General features: G+C 34.3%; 1 protein-coding gene across 14 annotated transcripts in view, besides 1 other annotated feature; it reads right to left on the reverse strand.

The window, feature by feature from the left end:
* Nucleotides 1–18,986, reverse strand: part of CEP85L (centrosomal protein 85L) — a 249,318-nt gene that overhangs the window by 67,084 nt on the left and 163,248 nt on the right. Inside the window, exon 1 of one of the 14 annotated variants that reach the window (XM_005266972.5) lies at nucleotides 9,669–15,044. The exons of the other annotated variants lie outside the window; for them this stretch is intronic. The gene's annotated coding sequence lies outside the window, so the exon portion shown is untranslated. Of the gene's footprint in view, nucleotides 1–9,668; nucleotides 15,045–18,986 lie in introns of those variants that run through there. 14 annotated transcript variants of the gene reach the window in all.
* Nucleotides 8,187–10,758: an enhancer, noted in NCBI's record as "VISTA enhancer hs2188". NCBI's record gives its function as "enhancer in: heart[12/12]" and the evidence as "EXISTENCE:transgenic organism evidence [ECO:0001131][PMID:17130149]".

Consider the following 18,986-nt stretch of genomic DNA (forward strand, 5'->3'; position numbering starts at 1 on the left):
TGACATGTACTTTAAGTATTGGTTTTTGTATATTATATTATTTTGTATATTATTAGCATGCCTAACAAAAATCTTCTAGGCTAGATTAAGGATTTATGGTCTCCTCTTCCAAAGATCTAAAATAGGTAGATTCTCTATTTCCAATGACCACACACCAGCAGTCATCCACACCATATTATTTGAAGCTATATTTCACCTTATACATCTTGTGCCTATTTCAGTAAGACAAGTACCTAGGCAACAGATGATGATCTTCTCAAGAAGACATTAACACTATTTTACTCTTCACAAGTCATCTGCTAAAAAAAATTTCCCATGGCTGACAATTACCTTAAGAAAGTGGCTTTTCTTTTCTTTTTCTTTTTTTTTTTTTAACGTTTCTTGGCATCAAGAAAAAGATTAAACAGAAGGAACAACTAGGCATAAAGAGAAACAGCAACTGACAACACTATTTGCTTTCATAGCACTTTGAACCATTGGCAGGATGGACTGCTAAAGTACTTGCCAAATACTTCCATAAATATACACAAAACAAAATATGAGAATGTATTATTCTGTGTTGTAACTCCCTTGATCTAAACCCTTTAGAAATAAACAAAAATTGAGAGCTCTGAAACTGGGAAAACAGGAATAAAGAAAAAGGATTCCTTTCCCTGTAATTAAGATACAATATATTTAAAATTTACCAAACCAGCAGCAGTCTTCCTTATGATAGTCTTCCTTACTAAACTTAAACCCTGATTCATAAAATAGTTAATAGAGAGAACAAAACCTGACATCCTACCAAACGCTGTAGGTTGACTTAAAAGTAATTTTTTAAATCCATGTGTATCTACCTACCTCTAAACATGACAGTTACGGAGACATTTTACCTTCTAAGGAGAATGGCTTTTATAATGAAGCCAGCATCTATACTACATTAAATGAAGTTATAGAATGGAATTTGAAGTACCTAGCAAAATTCAAGAATAAAAAAATCATATTGTGAAGTCTCAAACAGCAAGGCAACTATACCTTTATGATTTTGCATTCTCTATAAACAACTGATACACTACTAAAGGCATACAGAAAAGGAACAACTAATGAAAATGTATTTTCATTATAATTGACAGTCTAGGTTCCAGTCTTGACAGAGCTAAAAGAAAATCTGATAGAAATAACACAGAATCATTTTGCACTAAATGTGGAAATAAATCAGGTATCTACCCCGGAACCATTTATCTTTTGAAAGTCCTAAACAAAGGTGGAATAGTGATAAGGGAATTAGATGTGTTCAAATTGATTCTTCCTCACATTTCCACATTACAATCTTACAGAGAAGTTATTCAAAAACTGTCAATTTAATGTGTCTGCAAATGTTAAAGGTTTTCTGCCTTTATTTATAAGACAAAATTATCTTCTCTTACACATTTGATGAGTGTTTTTATATGTATCACATAGGCTAACAACTTATAAAATCTTACTAGTATCAGCCAGGCATGGTGGCTTGTGCCTGTAATCCCAGCACTTTGGGAGGCCAAGGTGGGTGGATCACAAGGTCAGGAGATCGAGACCATCCTGGCTAACACTGTGAAACCCCATCTCTACTAAAAATACAAAAAAATTAGCTGTGCATGGTGGTGGGCATCTGTAGTCCCAGCTACTCGGGAGGCTAAGGCAGGAGAATGGCGTGAACCTGGGAGGCGGACCTTGCAGTGAGCCGAGATCGCACCACTGCACTACAGCCTGGGCGACAGAGCGAGACTCTGTCTCCAAAAAAAAAAAAAAAAAAAAAAAAAAAATTCTTACTAGTATCAATTATCTATTAAGTTTCAAGTATTATGCCCAAAAGCAGTGAGGAGAAAAAGCCCTTTCCCTCTGACTATGATGCCATAGCAACTTTGAGTATACATAAATATCTACTTTTAAAGTTCTAGATGGCACTGTCTTAGCTTTAGTACATTAATATATGATTGTGGAAAAGGAGGAAAGCCAAGCGCAATTGCCTTAAAACCTTCAGACTAAAAGTTATTGAAAATGAAGCACAATATAAATGTTAATGTTTTCTTTTGTTTTATTATAGACCAGGAGCTACTGTGGCTTGCAAACTATGTTCTTGCACAATACTGGCTAACATGAAAAAATAGATGCAGAGTGACAGTATCACTCTTGGATGTAATAAAATCCAGGCCAAAAAAAATCATTAAATAAAAATAAAGTTTTATAAAACTTTATAAGGTAAAAGATAAAAGTTACCACGAAGATAAAATAATCACAAATGTTTACACATTTAATAGCATATCTCATATGAGAAAAAACTATTAAGAATAAATGGAGACATAAACCCACAATCATATTACCAACTTTAGCACACCTCTAAGAAAGACACCATGTAAAGTGGGGATCCAGTTCACTCTTTTTTTTCACAGCCTGCAAACTAAAACCGGAATTAATATTTTCAAATGGTTGAAAAAAATCAAAAGAAAAATATTTTGTGCAACGAACTAGGCATTGAAGGAACATACTTAAAAATAATAAGAGCCATGTATGGAAAAAAAAAAAAAACACAGCCAAGATCATACTGAATGGGCAAAAGCTGGAAGCATTCCCCTTGAAATCCAGAGTAAGACAAGGATGCTCTCTCACACCACTCCTATTCAACATATTACTGGAAGTCCTAGCCAGAGCAATCAGGCAAGAGAGAGAAATAAAAGGCATACAAATAGGAAGAGAGAAGTCAAACTATTTCTATTTGCAGACTTTATGATTCTATACCTAGAAAACCCCATAGTTTCTCTCCAAAAGTTATTTGATCTGATAAACTTCAGCAAAGTCTCAGAATACAAAATCAATGAACAAAAATCAGTAGCATTCATATATGCCAACAACTTCCAATTAAAGAACACAGTCCCATTGACAATAGCCACAAAAAAGAATAAAATACCTAAGAATACAACTAACTAGGGAAGTAAAAGAGCTCTACAACAAGAATTACAAAACACTGCTGAAAGAAATGAGATGATTCCAAAAAAAAAAAAGGAAAAACAACCCATGCTCTGGATAAGAAAAATCAATATTGTTAAAATGTTCATACTGCCAAAAGCAATTTACAGATTCAATGTTATTCCTATCAAACTACCAATGACATTCCTTACAGAAGTAGAAAAAACTTGTAAAATTCATATGGATCCAAAAAACAGCCTGAATAGCCTAGGCAATTCTAAGCAAAAAGAATAAAGTTGGAGGTATAACGTTACCCAACTTCAGACTATGCAACAAAGCTACAATAACCAAAGCAGCATGGTACTGGTACAGAAACAGACACACAGACCAATGAAACAAAATAGAGAGCTCAGAAATAATACCATTCACCCACAACCACCTGATTTTCATCAACGTCAACAAAAACAATCAAAAGAGAAAGGAAAGGACTCCCTGTTCAATAAACAATGCTGGAATAACTGGCTAGCCATACACAGAAGGCTGAAATTGCACCCCTTCCTTATACTATATACAAAAAATCAACTCAAGATGAATTAAAGACTTAATTATGAAACCTAAAACTATAAAAACCCTGGAGAATAACCTAGGAAATACCATTGTGGACACAGGCCTTGGCAAAGATTTCATGATGAAGACTCCAAAAGCAATCACAACAAAACCAAAAGTTGACAAATGGGACCTAATTAAACAAAAGAGCTTCTGCACAGCAAAAGAAACTATCAACAGAATAAACAAACACCCTACAGAATAGGAGAAGATATTTGCAAACTATGCATCCAGTAAAGGTCTAATATCCACAATCTATAAGGAACTTAAACAAATTTACAAGCAAAAAACAACCCCATTAAAAAGAAGGAAAAAGACATGAACAGACACATCTCAAAAGACAACATACATGCGGCCAGCAAGCATATGAAAAAACATTCAATATCACTAATCATTAGAGAAATGCAAATCAAAACCATGAGATACCATCTCATACCAGTCAGAATGGTTATTACTAAAAAGAAAAAAAAATCAGAGGTTGGCGAGGTTGCAGAGAAAAGGGAACACTTATACAGTGTTGGCAGGATAAATTAGTTCAGCTACTGTGAAAAGCAATTTGATGATTTCCCAAAAACTCAAAGCAGAATTACCATTTGACATGGCAATCCCATTATTGGGTATATACCCAAAGGAATATAAATCATTCTACCGGAGACACATGCACAACATGTTCATCGCAGCACTATTCACAATAGCAAAGATATGGAATCAACCTAAATGCCCATCAACAGTAGACTGGATAAAGAAAATGTGGTACTATGTATATACATAGTGTATATACTATGTAATACTACATAGCCATAAAAGAATAATATGTCCTTTGAAGCAACATGGATGGAGTAGGCCATTATCCTAAGAGAACTAACATAGGAACAGAAAACAAAATACCACGTTTTCACTTAAAAGTGGGAGCTAAACATCGAATACACATGGATACAAAGAAAGGAACAACAGATACCAGGGCCTACTTGATGAGGGGGGCGGGTGGAAGGATGGTGAGGGTAAAAAAACAACTACCTATTAGGTGCTATGCTTGCTGCCTGGATGACAAATCATTTGTACACTAAACCCCAGTGACATGCAATTTAACCATGTAACAAACCTGGTTATGTACCCCTGAACCCCAAATAAAGGTTGGAATAAAAAAGTTTGAGAGCAAAAAGTAAATAAAACTGTACTGTGTTTTATACCATAACAATAAATCTAAAGATTTAGATGAAATGGATCACTTTCTAAGAAAATATCAATTACCAAAATTAACTCTTGAGATAGAGTATCTGAATCATCATAGAAAGGATTGGGGGAAAAGTAAGTCTACTCCTAAAATGAAGTACTGATTTTTTGGATGGTTTCTACCTAAATCTAAAGAAAATATAAAACAGTAGAAGAAGAAAAATTTTGAGAAAGGTAATAGGGCTAGGCTTGAAAAATAATGAAGCATGTTATAAATTGACAGTATTTAAAACAATAATACATCTTAAAGCAAATACAGAATTCAAATTAATACAATACTATCATTTTGGGGGATCACTGAGATTAAACAACACACTTCTAAATAATACACAGGTTTAACTGACTGAAAATGAAAATATCAAAATTTTAAGGAAGCAGGTAAAGCAGTACTGAGAAGGAAATTTACAGCACTAAGCAGTTATATTAGAAAAAGGGAAAAAGCTCTCAACCTAAGCTTCCATCTTTAGAAACTAGAATATAAGCCCAAAGCAAGCAGATGGAAGACAAGAAGGCTGAGAACAAAAATCAATAGAGTTTAAAACAGAAAAAAACAGAAAAATCTATTCAGAAAGATAAGCTAGTTCATTGAGACAATCAATAAAATTTATAAACCATTACCTAGACTGAGAAAGAAAAAAAGAAGAGGCAAGTTATTAGGGAGTAAAATAGATATCACTACAGACCATCAGACATTAAAAAGATAAGGTAATTACTAGGAACAATTCTACACACACCAATTCAATAACTTGAATTAGACCAACTTCTTAAAAAACACAAACTTACCCAAATTCATTCAATATGAAATAATCTGAATGTCCTATAAACTATTAGAGTAATTGAATTTATAATTTTTTAAAAGCTCCCAAAAAAATCTCTAGGTCCAAATTGTTACACTGTAGGATTCTACCAAATGTTTAAAGAATTAACACCAATCCTCCACGAACTCAGAGGCGGAAAAAAAATGAATTATTTCCCAACTCATTTTATGAGTTCAACAATGCTCTGATAACAAAACCAGACAAGACAGTAGGAAAAAAGAAAATGACAAACCAACATCCATCATGAACATAGATACAAAAAACTTTAACAAAATCAAACCAAATCCAATCCAGACATAGAGCTATACATAGATAATACGTTTGGCATACGGTTTTCCCAGGAATGCAAGTTAAGTTTAGCATTTAAAAATCAATGCAAGCTGGGCGCAGTGGCTCACACCTGTAATCCTAGCACTTTTGGAGGCCGAGGCAGGTGGATCTCTTGAGGCCAGCAGTTCAAGACCAACCTGGCCAACATGGTGAAACCCCGTCTCTACTAAAAATTCAAAAATTAGCCAGGCGTGGTGGCTCATGCCTATAATCCCAGCTACTCGGGAGGCTGAGGCAGGAGAATGGCTTGAACCCAGGAGGCGGAGGTTACAGTGAGCTGAGATCTGAGATCACACGATTGCACTCCCGCCTGGAGAACAGAGTGAGACTCCGTCTCAAAACAAAACAAAAAAATCAATGCAATTTACCACATTAATAGACCAATTAAAAACCTACTAGAACCAATAAGTGACTTTAACAAGATTATACAATTCAGGGTCAATTTTTTTTAAAAAACCAATTATATTTCTATATATTAACAACAAAAGGGCAATTAAAAATGTATTATCATTTACATCAAAAACATTAAAAGCTTAGAAATAAAAATGTAATAAATTATGTGTAAGATCTGTACACTGAAAACTATAAAATATCACTAAAAAAACTGGCCAGGTGCGGTGGCTCACACCTGTAATCCCAGCACTTTGGGAGGCCGAAGTGGGCGGATCATCTGAGGTAAGGAGTTCGAGACCAGCCTGTCAAACATGGCAAAACCCTGTCTCTACTAAAAATACAGAAATTAGCTGGGCGTGGTGGCACATGCCTGTAATCCCAGCTACTCAGGAGGCTGAGGCAGGAGAATCGCTTGAACCCAGGTGGCAGAGGTTGTATTATTGACATAAGGATAGACAGACCAATGAAACAGAATAAAGATCCACAAATCTAATGATGCATAGAGTAAACTGATTTTTTAACAAAGGGGAAAGGTAATTAAATGGGAAATTGAATTTGGTATTTATAAATACCAAATAAAGGCCAGGTGCAGTCAGTCATGCCTGTAATCCCAGCATTTTGAGAGGCCTAGGCAAGTGGATCCCTTGAGGCCAGGAGTTTGAGACCAGCCTAGCCAACACGGTGAAACCCCACCTCTACTAAAAATATAAAAATTAGCCAGGTGTGGTGGTGCACACCTGTAATCCCAGCTACTTGGGACGCTGAGGCACAAGAATGGCTTGAACCTGGGAGGCAGAAGTTGCAGTGAACAACTGCAGTTACAGTTGAGCCACTGCACTCCAGCCTGGGCGACAGTACAGACTGTTTTCTCTAAATAAATAAATAATAAAAATAAATACTCAAATAAAACTAAAAACACGTCCACATAGAACCATAGGCAAATGTTTACTCATAATCATCCGAAACTAAAAACAACCCATGGGTCTGTAAGATAAACGGATAAAAACGGTACTACATCCACAAAACACAGTACTATTCAGCACACACAGGCACACACACAAATTTATAACATGCAACAACATGGATGAATCTCAACAGCAGCATGAAAAGTGAAAGAAACCACACTCAAAGGCTATCAACTATCTGATTCTATACATAGGGCTTCTGCAAAAGGCAAAACAATAAGAATCAGATCAGTGGTTGCCAAGCGGGGTAGAGGACTAACTACAAAGGGGCAAAAGGTAGCTTTCTGGAGTGATGGAAATGTCGCACACTTCTCTTGTAGTAAAATGATCCTCATATAATCGCAGTTTCACTTTCTCTGGTTTCAGTTACCCACAGTCAACCGTTGCCTGAAAATATTAATAATGGAAAATTCTAGAAATAAAGAAAATTCACAAATTATAAATTGTACTCCATTCTAAGTAGTGTGATGAAATCCCACACCATTTTGTTTCCTCTCACCCAGGAGGTGAATCATCCATTTCTCCAGCTCATCCACACTGTATATGCTATCCACCCACTGGCGTGTAGTGCCATCTTGGTTAAAGGACCAACTCTCAGTATCGCAGTATTTGTGTTCCAGTAATCCTTATTTTACTTAATAATGGCCCCAAAGTGCAAGAGTAGTGATGCTCTCATATTGTTATAATTATTCTATTTTATTATTAGCTATTGTTAATTTCTTACTATGCCTAAATTATAAATTAAATCTTATAGATTTAATTTATTAAAGGACTACTGTATACATTCTTCAAAACTCAAATTATAGCATTTTATGTAAATTTAATCTTTAAAAATCTTAAAAGTTGCATGTAAATTATACTTCAATTATCATATTAAAATTTGATTTTTCTAAAATTGTAGGTAAATGTTTACATATCTCCCACTCAACAACAGTAGAAGCAAAAAGAACTTATCATAATAAAATTGAAACAACCCAAATGTGTTAACAAAGGAATAGATAATTAATGGTGGTAGAAGTATACACTAGAATACTATATAGCAATAAAACAGAACTACTATTATACAAAACAACATAGATTAAATTCAGAGACATTATGCTAAACAAAAGAATGCTAGCACAGACCATACATAATCAATAATGGTAAGTCAGAACAGTAGAGATGGGTAGGATATAAGGTGTCACCATAAAGACTGAGAAGAGTCACAAGCTAAACCTACTGGGCATTAGAAATTTTGTATCCTGACCTGAGTGGTGATTATAAGGGGAGATGTATGTGGGTGTGTATTGGAATGGAGCTATTATTAAAGATTAATATTCCTATGTACTTTACTGTATGTTAGACATCAACAAAAAATATAATACAGGAAATACTTATACTTTATTTCACTTTCTACCTTAGAAGAAGTATTGAAGGGAAATAAAGGCCTCATCTGCTAGAAGAGAATCCTTAAGTCCCAAAGATGCACTATAGATGACAGAATGCACTGTCGTGGCTGTAAGTTCCTATCTCATCATCACTTTGGTGCAACTCCACATCTGCAACTAGCCATGAGATAAGAGAAAAGGCCAGATGACATATATACCCTACACCAAGAATGCATGGATGAAGAATGAAGTTGATAACAACCTACAAGCTGGTTCTTAGGCGCTGTCAGAACTCTAGGAGAACAAAGAAGCCTTCTATTAAGGCAGAAGACAATCCTGCTTCCTAATATAGAAAAGAGGAAAGGATTTTATATTCAAATAACTTCTCCCCTATATCCCTTTAGTAACACATTTTTTCCCAAGTAGTTAGAAAACAAGAATTTTTATTCAGTAAAGTCATAACTGGCTTTGAGAAGCATACCATTGCATGGCAGTTATATATTACTAGTAAAATATACATCTTGACAATATCCCAGAAAACCGAGGTACTTGTTTTGATAGAAAAACATGTATCAAAATTCACATATTGATAAATCATAAAATTACTGTTGCTATGCTGTTCTACTTAGAATTTCAAAGTAATCTATCATGTTTCTACATCACTGTAACCAATATAAGTAATCTAGAACATGTTAATTTAAGCATATAATTTATAACTTATTAATGACAAAACTTTGACATGAACATGCAATGTAAAAGGTAGTTATAAACCTTGTAACTATGTGAGTTAATTTGAAGAAACAAAGTATGCCATCAAAGTAACATTTCAAAATGTGTAAAGGTGAAACAGAGACATTTTTACAGGTAAACATTTTATATATATATTTAGTAGCTGCCAAACTCAGGGAGCACTGGGAAGGCCTCATTTAGATGTTTTACCTAAAAATGCATATGACACACTGTTCTCTACCCTAATGTAGGCATGTAGACCCTAACCATATAGATTTATAGACCCAGAAAATATACATAGGTACCTCTTCTTGGAAATGGCAGATTCCACTCTCAAAATTGAGTAAGGATAGCAGGCATCTACAACAATCCCAAACACATGCTACTTAGATGAGATCCGGATACTATGAAAAGTTGCCAAAATATGTCACTTAATGGCCAAACATGCTCCTAATAAAAGTTTACTGTAGTGCAGCTGAAAATAGTTCAAAATTCTTTGGCCTGGACAAATACTGTTAAATTTAGATAATCCAGTGCTACCACACTTGACTGGAATACAACCTCTGCAATTCTTCAAGTTTGTTATCTCTCCTTCACTTGCCTTTGTCTCTGAGCTTATTCATCACTCACAACATGTCACGTAACACAGTAAATCTTCCTCTGTTTCCTGGAATAGTCTATCTGAAGAGATACTCTACAAGTGTTTTCTGGTAAGAGTCATACCTTAACTAAAAAGTAAATAAATTCACAAAGCTCAGTAATGAAGATGAAAATAATACAAATAACATAAAATTTAAAGAATCTTTATTCACCAAGAGAAGGAAAATATGAATTATGTTATTACTAAAAGAACTGTGCACTTAATATAAAATCTACGTCTTAACTAAGCCCATGTAATTATTTATGGAGTGCATTATTACGTATTTCTCTAACAACAACAAAAAAACCATTCTATCAGTCACCCCTTCCTATTATACTGAAGTCTGCATCTTGACCCTCAAAGTTTATATTATAGAAGAAACTGTTTTTAATAATCTAATTATTTCTTCAATGTGTTTTTGTTACTAACTCTGTAAGCTTTTTGACATCCTAATATGATTTACTGAAATAACAATTCAAGTAAATTGAGTTACTTGAAAGGTAAAAGACCCTGAAAAAATGATAAAAAGAAACTGATGATATAAATATATATATAAAAAACATCTTAAGAATGCATATGCATGAAGATAAAGGGAACTCAAAGTATTTCTGATTTCCAACATGCTAAACAACTAAATTACTATTATCTCTTTTCTTTTGGAGGGAGAAAAATTTTTCCTCTTAAAAATCAATCCAGTTTATATATCATCGGTTAGTATTATCATGTCTTTAAAAAATTCCAACAAAGAAATGAGCCATGCATGCAACATGATCTCATTACAATCATAGTACAAAAGTGAAGAGAAGAAATGGTTTATCCAAGACAGACAGTAACTTACTTTCTTTAAGCAAATCAATTAGAAGATTAGGTAAAACAAATGAAGCTTAAGTATTCAAATTAAGGTTAATCATGGACTTTACTTATAAAACAAATAGAATGTAATGTTTTCCAAGCATTTTGTTGCTATAATTTACTTTTTAAATTTTTAGATGAAATATAAACAGAATTTAATGAATCAATCCCTTGTAATTAACAAACCAGACAATAAAAATGGAAAAAAAATTAATGATATAATTGACAATTTATGAAACAGGTATCTATGAAACTGAAATAAAAGAAGTTTATCAAAATGAAGTACTTAATACAATATGGCTCTATTTTGGATCTTGCCCAAGGTTATGAATAGCAAATTTACTACACTATATAACCAGCTTCTACTAAAACAAAGCTATAGTACAGGTGCTAACATTTTAATTTATTTTAAAAATCAGACTAACAACATATATTTAATCAAGTCTTTATCATATTTTACTCTCAAGGGATAAAAATATTTGATAGTCATGCACTGCATAATAATGTTCCTGTAAATGCTGCACCCTTAAGATTATACCTCATTCTTACTATATCTTTTCTATAGATATATTTAGGTACACAGTAACACTGTGTTACAAATTGTTTACAGTATTTAGTACAATAACATTCTGTACAGGTTTGTAGCTTAGGAGCAAATACCATATAGCCTAGGCGTGTAGTTGTTAGTCGGCTATACCATCTAGGTTTGTGTAAGTACACTCTACGATGTTTACACAATAAAGAAATTGCCTCATTTCTCAGAATGTATTCCTGTCATTAAGTGACAAATATGTTAAGGGACCAAAGCACTGCCTACATTATCTTGAAATGTAGCAATGAATTTTTCTAAAAGGATATAAAAGAAACTATTTTTTACTTTTTTTTGTTAAATTTTATTTTAAGTTCCGGGATACATGTGAAGGACATGCAGGTTTCTTACATAGGTAAACCTGTGCCATGGTGGTTTGCTGCACCTATCAACCCATCACCTAGGTATTAAGCCCCGCATGCATTAGGTATTTATCATGATGCTCTCCCTCCCCCCAAAAAAAGAAACTACTAAAGGGAGCTATCTTGAGGGGAGAGGGAGCATGCTTTTACTTTCTATCAATTGGGATTTATCTGACTTTTCCTACCATTTACATATTACTTTTTTCTTTTCTATCTGTGCAGTTATGGGTCACTAATGTTTTCTTCTTTTATATGTTAAAAATATCATTTTTAAAATGGTCTCAGGAGTCAACAATAATCTCATGGTGAAACTGTTGAGTGGAGTTCAGACAGCTCCCTGTATATGTATAGGTCATAAAACAGGAACAAGTTGATTGCTGATGCCGATGTCTTTTTTTTTTTTTTTAAATCTCCAGAGTCCAGTTCATCACTGGCCTATAGTACACAATTAACAAAAAGAGGATGAGTAGCTAGAACACCCTAGGGATATTTATCAGCCTTGAAAAAAATCCAAAAGTATTTCCAACAGCAAAAACAGGTACTGTAATTAGCATACTGTAATAGTAATTATGGCAGTGGTTCCTTTCCTGTATCATGATAAGTTGGGTCTTATTCATTTGTGCCCTGATACTCAGCACAGCACCTGACAATGTTTATTAACTACTGACTGATATGAAAATTTGGAGATTTCTACAGAAGGTTACCATTTTGTTAGCAATGATATGTGTTAACAGTAAGAAATATCTACACTTAAAAGATTATAGCTCAAAGATCAGTATGCAAACCTATGTTTGATTAAAAATCATGCTTTCTGGCCGGGCACAGTGGCTCACACCTGTAATCCCAGCACTTTGGGAGGCCAAGGCGGGCACATCACGAGGTCAAGAGATGTAGACCATCCTGGCCAACATGGTGAAACTCCGTCTCTATACTAAAAATACAAAAATTAGCTGGGTGTGGTGATGCACACCTGTAGTCCCAGCTACTAGGGAGGCTGAGGCAGGAGAATCGCTTGAACCTGGGAGGCGAAGCTTGCAGTGAACCAAGATCACGCCACTGCACTCCAGCCTGGCAACAGAGCGAGACCCCATCTTAAATAAATAAATAAATAAATAAATAAATAAATAAATAAATAATGCTTTCTGACCCTTGCGGTCTAGCCTCATTTCAGTCAGACCTAGGGAAACTTCAACTAATCTGCACAACTAATTTTAGTTTGCTATTAATATAGAGATAAATTTGAAAGACAGTCTTCAATGGCCATACTTCGTTCTATTTTGGAAGTGTGAAGTTTCAGGAGCATGTTTTCATTGTCTAACATTCATTATACGGACTCATACTTATCCAAATATTGAATTTTGGGTTATGTTACTTTTTCAAGTTAGCTAAGGGAAAAAAAATCAATGTATTAATACTGGAGTCAACAATCAACTTTTCAGATATCCATAGTACCCTCAATTAAGCAATAAGCCCATTGAGAAAAGAATACATTAACGGGGCAGCCTTACAAATGACTTTGCCAAAGGCATCCTCTTGATCCTAATGTTGGTCCTGGAGCCCACTCATCACCTTTGACCAACTGAAGGGCAAATTAAATCAGCAGATGATGAGATGTTCATGCCCTTTTGCTATGCTATGCAAGCTTTTAATTTGGAGATGAGTTAAGGATGAAGTATGGCTTTCCTGAAATATAGCAAAACCATGTATAACTCTCAGTAGCGTAATTAAGTTGCCAGTAAAAAGTTACAATGCTTACATATCAGGAAGTTGGGTTTATTTCCACTGGAACATTTTTACATCTTTTGCTTTATAAAGTAAATATGAATTCCACATATCAAAATCTATTTTCATAACCTTCTCAAGAATGTATCTGCTGAAAAATCAAGGTTCAGTTCTAATTTTACTCTACAAACTTAAAGAGGGCTAACTGTGTAACTGAAGCATAGAAGCCATTATGTTTTAGAGGTTCTCCACCTGAAGCAATCAAGAACCTATCTTAAATGTTGATATTATCAAAGTCTTTAAATAAAAGCTCAGATCTACATTAAGGTAGGATTACCTCCCTCATCCTTAGAGCAGGAGCACTGATCAAAAAGCCACTTGATCTTAACTAAAAGTGCAATTTCTTTAGTTGCTTAGTTGGTACAGTCATGTCACTCAGGATGTTTACTAATTCAGAGTTTAATTCTCACCCCAAAAATGTATAATTTTAGCTCATTTTCTCAAAGAAGTTTCTCTAATTATAAGGAAATGTAACTGACCAAATCTTGAAAATTATTACATTTCAAAAACAAATCAAATTCATTTACAAGCCTGATCAGCCTTACATGAACTAATGTTTAGGAATAACAAGTTTACAGAACCAAGAGAAAAAAGAGAATTTAACAGATTTATTTACATAGATGGAATCACAGTGTTGTTTTTTAAGGTTTATAATGGCAAAAATTATATCCCCTGATATTCAATAAGAAAATTCACAAATTATGGTGTATTATATGCCAAACTCACATTTACATAGTAAAAATAAGACATTAAAATTTGTAACATATATTTTTAATAAACAGCACACAAAAATGCCCAAGCATATTTAAAATTATTCTCCAATGAACAGGTAATGTTTTAGGGTTTTTTAGAGTTTTTAAAAGCTTAACATGCCTGAAGATAAGGACTTTTTTTTTAAGTGCATTCCTTACCTAATAGAGTGCCTGACAACCAGTAAACCAGTAGTTTAAAGAAATGAATTAAGAACTGGCTTCTTGTGAAATTTACATGTTTAACAAAATTAGCTAAAATTAATAGCTACTTTCAAAATAACCACATTTTTCAAGCTAGTTTAGTATAATCAGAACATTTGGGCTTCAAAGAGACTTTAGAAATTAATTCGATCTGCCTTCCATTTATTTACGAGAAAACTACAGTACAGAAAGATTCATTTTCTGAAAATCATAGAGTAAGGTAGAGAGAGGACAAAAAAATGAGAATGACAGTTCCAATTCAACTCCTCATTAATATTCCTTGACCAACCTTCAACCACTCCAAAAATCTCTTATATTATGGTTACACAAAACTATGGAATGCCATTGTTTTGGACTGAGACTTAATAGCCCACGCCAAACCACAATGCAGTCACTCTGGTTTGTTTTGGGCTGAGTCTTAACAGACCAGACCAAACAAGAATGGAGCCACTCCTGCTAGGAGCCACATAACCAAACTGAACTTCAACATCACCAAGTTTTCCCAAAAAAAAAAAAAAAAAAAAAAACAGGATATTCACAGCAACCAATCAGAAAGGGCCCAGTTTACCTGAATTAGCATGATAAAGAAGTCTGTTTTAACCTTATAAGGAAAGTAACTTACAATAACCAATTCACTTTTTGTTCCTTCTTTCTTTAGCCTCTTTCTGCCTAGAAAGCCCACCTCCTCCACTTAGCTCATCTGATGGCCTATTTTTATAGAGACACTGCCCAATTCATGAATCATTAATCAAAGCCAATTAATTAAACTCAATTTGTTGAAATTGTTTTTTGATGTTACACACACGTCAAAGTGTGAACAAGTTAAAGAATTAAGTGCAAGAAAAATCTCAACTTTTCAGAGGCAATCATTAGGGACAAAGAAAATTAGTTTATCTAAGTTTCTGAGGGCCTTTATTCTCTCTTCTTTCAACTTATCCTTTTTAAGAGTTCACTTGTAATAGAAAAATAATATTCTAAATATCCATTAAGTATAAAAATATCTTATTGAGCCTTCTAAGGGATAAACAGTGTGTAGAGCTTAAAAAAATCAATCAGTCTCTATTCATGAAGTTTATGGCAAGGAAAATAAATAGACCTATATAATATAAAAAGTCCCCCACCAACTTCAGATTTATCTGACTTTTCTGAATTATAAGAGATATTCACTTATTACTTGTATAATTAGAAATTAAGAACAAGCAAAACAGGGCTTCTCCCCACCTACTTCTGAATAATGAAGGAGTTCTATAAGAACAAGACAGTAAGGAAAATAATTCGGATAGAAGAAATAACATATAATGGCAGAGTTGTCAAATCGTTATGGTAGGCATACATGGCAATGGACAGATCAGGAACGATGTTTTATGTAATTCTGTAAAGAGTGGGTTTTTCATCTCGAAAGAGAAATCAATAAAAAGTTCTCAGCATGTGAATGACAATCAAATGTGCACTTGGATATCAGAGTAAAAACTGAGTAGGAAAGAGTCACAACGAAGGGTAGAAAAACTAGTTAATAAACGTCTATGAAAGTTAAGAGGAGAGTTGGTCAGGCTATGAGAACAAAGACATATTTCACAATCTGCATTTGGTTTCTAAGTGAATGGGGAGTCTGGCAGAAGACAGAAAAGGTATGAGCCTCCAATTTCAATTTTGTATCAAAATCAGTGATAGTGCCACCACAAAGTTTGCGAATGCGAGGAGCTCAAAGGGCTGAGATATCAACCACAAAGATAAGAAATTTAATATGTCTGGAGAAATACTACAATCATTAAATTGAAATAGAACCTTCTTAACAATGTAACAGCATCATGATCGGGACCCTATAGAATTTTGAAGCAAGTATTTGGAGACCTAAGGGTTGGTTTTTGTTGTTAAATTTGTTTTGTGATGTATGTGTTTCCCTTTGTTATTTTTGGCTTTGGTTCTGTCCGTTTCCTTTGTACAAAACATGCACTTCTCTTAGAAGTCATACTGCTTATTATTACACGTGCTCATTTGACTCTCAATTGGGAATTTCTTTTTCTCCTGGTGTTATCTTGCACTAGTGGTTACCTTCTAAATGTTAAATTTTCATTTCCATATTATTTGTATACTGATAAACCATAATTTCCTTGAAGCCACGTAGCATGCTATAGCATTTCTATCACTTAGAATGTTTAATAACTTTCCAAAATTTATGTAGACCTATATGAGTCCTTTTCTTAATCCATCTGGCCTCTCTTAATGTCAATGCTCTTCTCCACCCCTCATCAAGATGAGGAAAGAGAATTTGCCCAGAATTCAGATATTTATGAAAAAATAAAATGTTTGGGTCTCCAGGTTATCTGGCAAATCAAGTGAAAAGTGAACCTACCTCCCCCAAATGACCCCTAAGCTTTATAGGTTACTTTATCACTGGGTTATATCAACAGCCCCCCAACTCCAGTTGATGAGTAAATCTTATTTTCTTTTCCCTATTGCCCTATGGAGAGAATTTCCATCCTCTCAATCTCAGACCACTAATTCTTATTCGCAGTTTTGCTTAGATGTTTTTTGAACCAGTCCTTCCCTACGTAGCTTTAAAATTTAAGGCAGTAATTATCAAACCCTCAAGTACCCTCAAGAGATAGGTAAAATCTTCTTCCTGGGTGTCTAGGAGATCTAATCTAAAAAAAGCTCCTTATCTTTGATGTATTGTGAACATTACAAAAATTGATTCAAAGCTTGCATTTTACTGTATCTCTGTCTAAATATTAAAATGCTTTAATTTAGTCATCACTTATATTAACTTCTGGTCAAAAATTTCCAAAAACCGATTCTATTTTGAAGCTTCTTCGCCCTCCGGATACACCACTACAGACTGGAGTTTAAATGCTCAATGTAAAAGATTACTACATACATCACAGTGCCCTTCACAAAACGTTAGTAATATAGCTGGGCGCGGTGGCTCACGCCTGTAATCCCAGCACTTTGGGAGGCCGAGGTGGGCAGATCACGAGGTCAGGAGTTTGAGACCAGCCTGGGCAATATGGTGAAACCCCATCTCTACTAAAAATACAAAAGTTAGCTGGGCGTGGTGGCACACGCCTGTAGTCTCAGCTACTTGGGAGGCTGAGGCAGGAGAATCGCTTGAACCCGAGAGGGAGAGGTTGCAGTGAGCTGAGATCGCACCATTCACTCGGGGCTGAGTAACAGAGTGAGACTCCGCACCCCCTTCCAAAAAAAATTAGTAATACTTTTGAGGAACACATTTAAAATGCTACAAAACTATATAAAAACAAAAGTAAAGACATGAACTCATGATTCAGTTGAAACTGAATACTAAATTTCATTTAGAGCTTAGTAAAAATAAATTTGTAATTATTTTCCCATCCAAGTTCAAAGACACTTTACCCTTAAGAATCCACCTTCTAAAGGAAAAAAGAAAATAAGTGCTAACACTAAATGAACACTGTTGCAGGATCTCTGATAATCACTATGTACACTTCATGTCATTAAACCATCACAAATACTATTCCACAGATTAGGCTGCTTAGGAAAGTTATTTGTATAAAGCCATGTGACCAAAAATACATTCAAACTATAGTGTAACTCCAAATGAAGACTGTGACAAAGCACCTCAAAAAAATTTTCTAGCCTCTAGCTGAGGAATCATTGAGGAACACTCTACTGATAACACTATAACTCATTAATACTCCTATTAAACAACTTTCTGTTTGGGCAATTAAAAACAATGTTCAGTTAAAACTAAAATCTAATACTTCCTAGAGTTCCACATGAGATCATCACCATCATCGTCATCTTCACTAGCTAACCCAAAGGAACAAGGTAAACACAAAAACTCCCCACTCTTGTACCAATCTAAAAAGTAAATTTTTGAATCCATTTTCCAACTGTGTCACACACAGTTGTTAGTATCCTTCTAAGGTGTGTATATGCCTATGTATACTTTTTAAGTAAACTTATAAACATGTGGTAACTAGGGCATATTTTATTCTGTCTACGGCAGCTTCTTGGTTTATCCAACTAAGTATTACTAATTCTATTTTCTTAGAATGAGAAGTTCTCAGAACAATGATCTATCACCTAAATTTCAAATGAATGTGTAACTGGTAGACAAACTTAAAGCAGACTTTCTAAAACTATTAACAGTGCTCAAGAATGCATCTATTTACATCTTAAAAATTTCTCAGTTACTATATGCTACTCTAATGAAAGCTATATTCAAATTATAATTTTTTCCCACAGCATGCCAACAGATTAGGAATTATAAACAGACAGATCTGGATTTGAATCCTGTCTATTCTTTAGCAGCTGGTTATCTCTGACAAATTACTGTAAACCTCGTTAGGCTTCTCGGTTTTGTATTATCAATCATCATTGGTAACTGATAGTACTGAGAGATCCTCATTATGTAAGGATTGAAAGAAAAATGGTTGTAGCACTGAGAAAAGTATCAAACATTA

Source organism: Homo sapiens, chromosome 6 (assembly GCF_000001405.40).
Source record: "Homo sapiens chromosome 6, GRCh38.p14 Primary Assembly".
In the NCBI taxonomy this organism is placed as follows: Eukaryota; Metazoa; Chordata; class Mammalia; order Primates; family Hominidae; genus Homo; species Homo sapiens.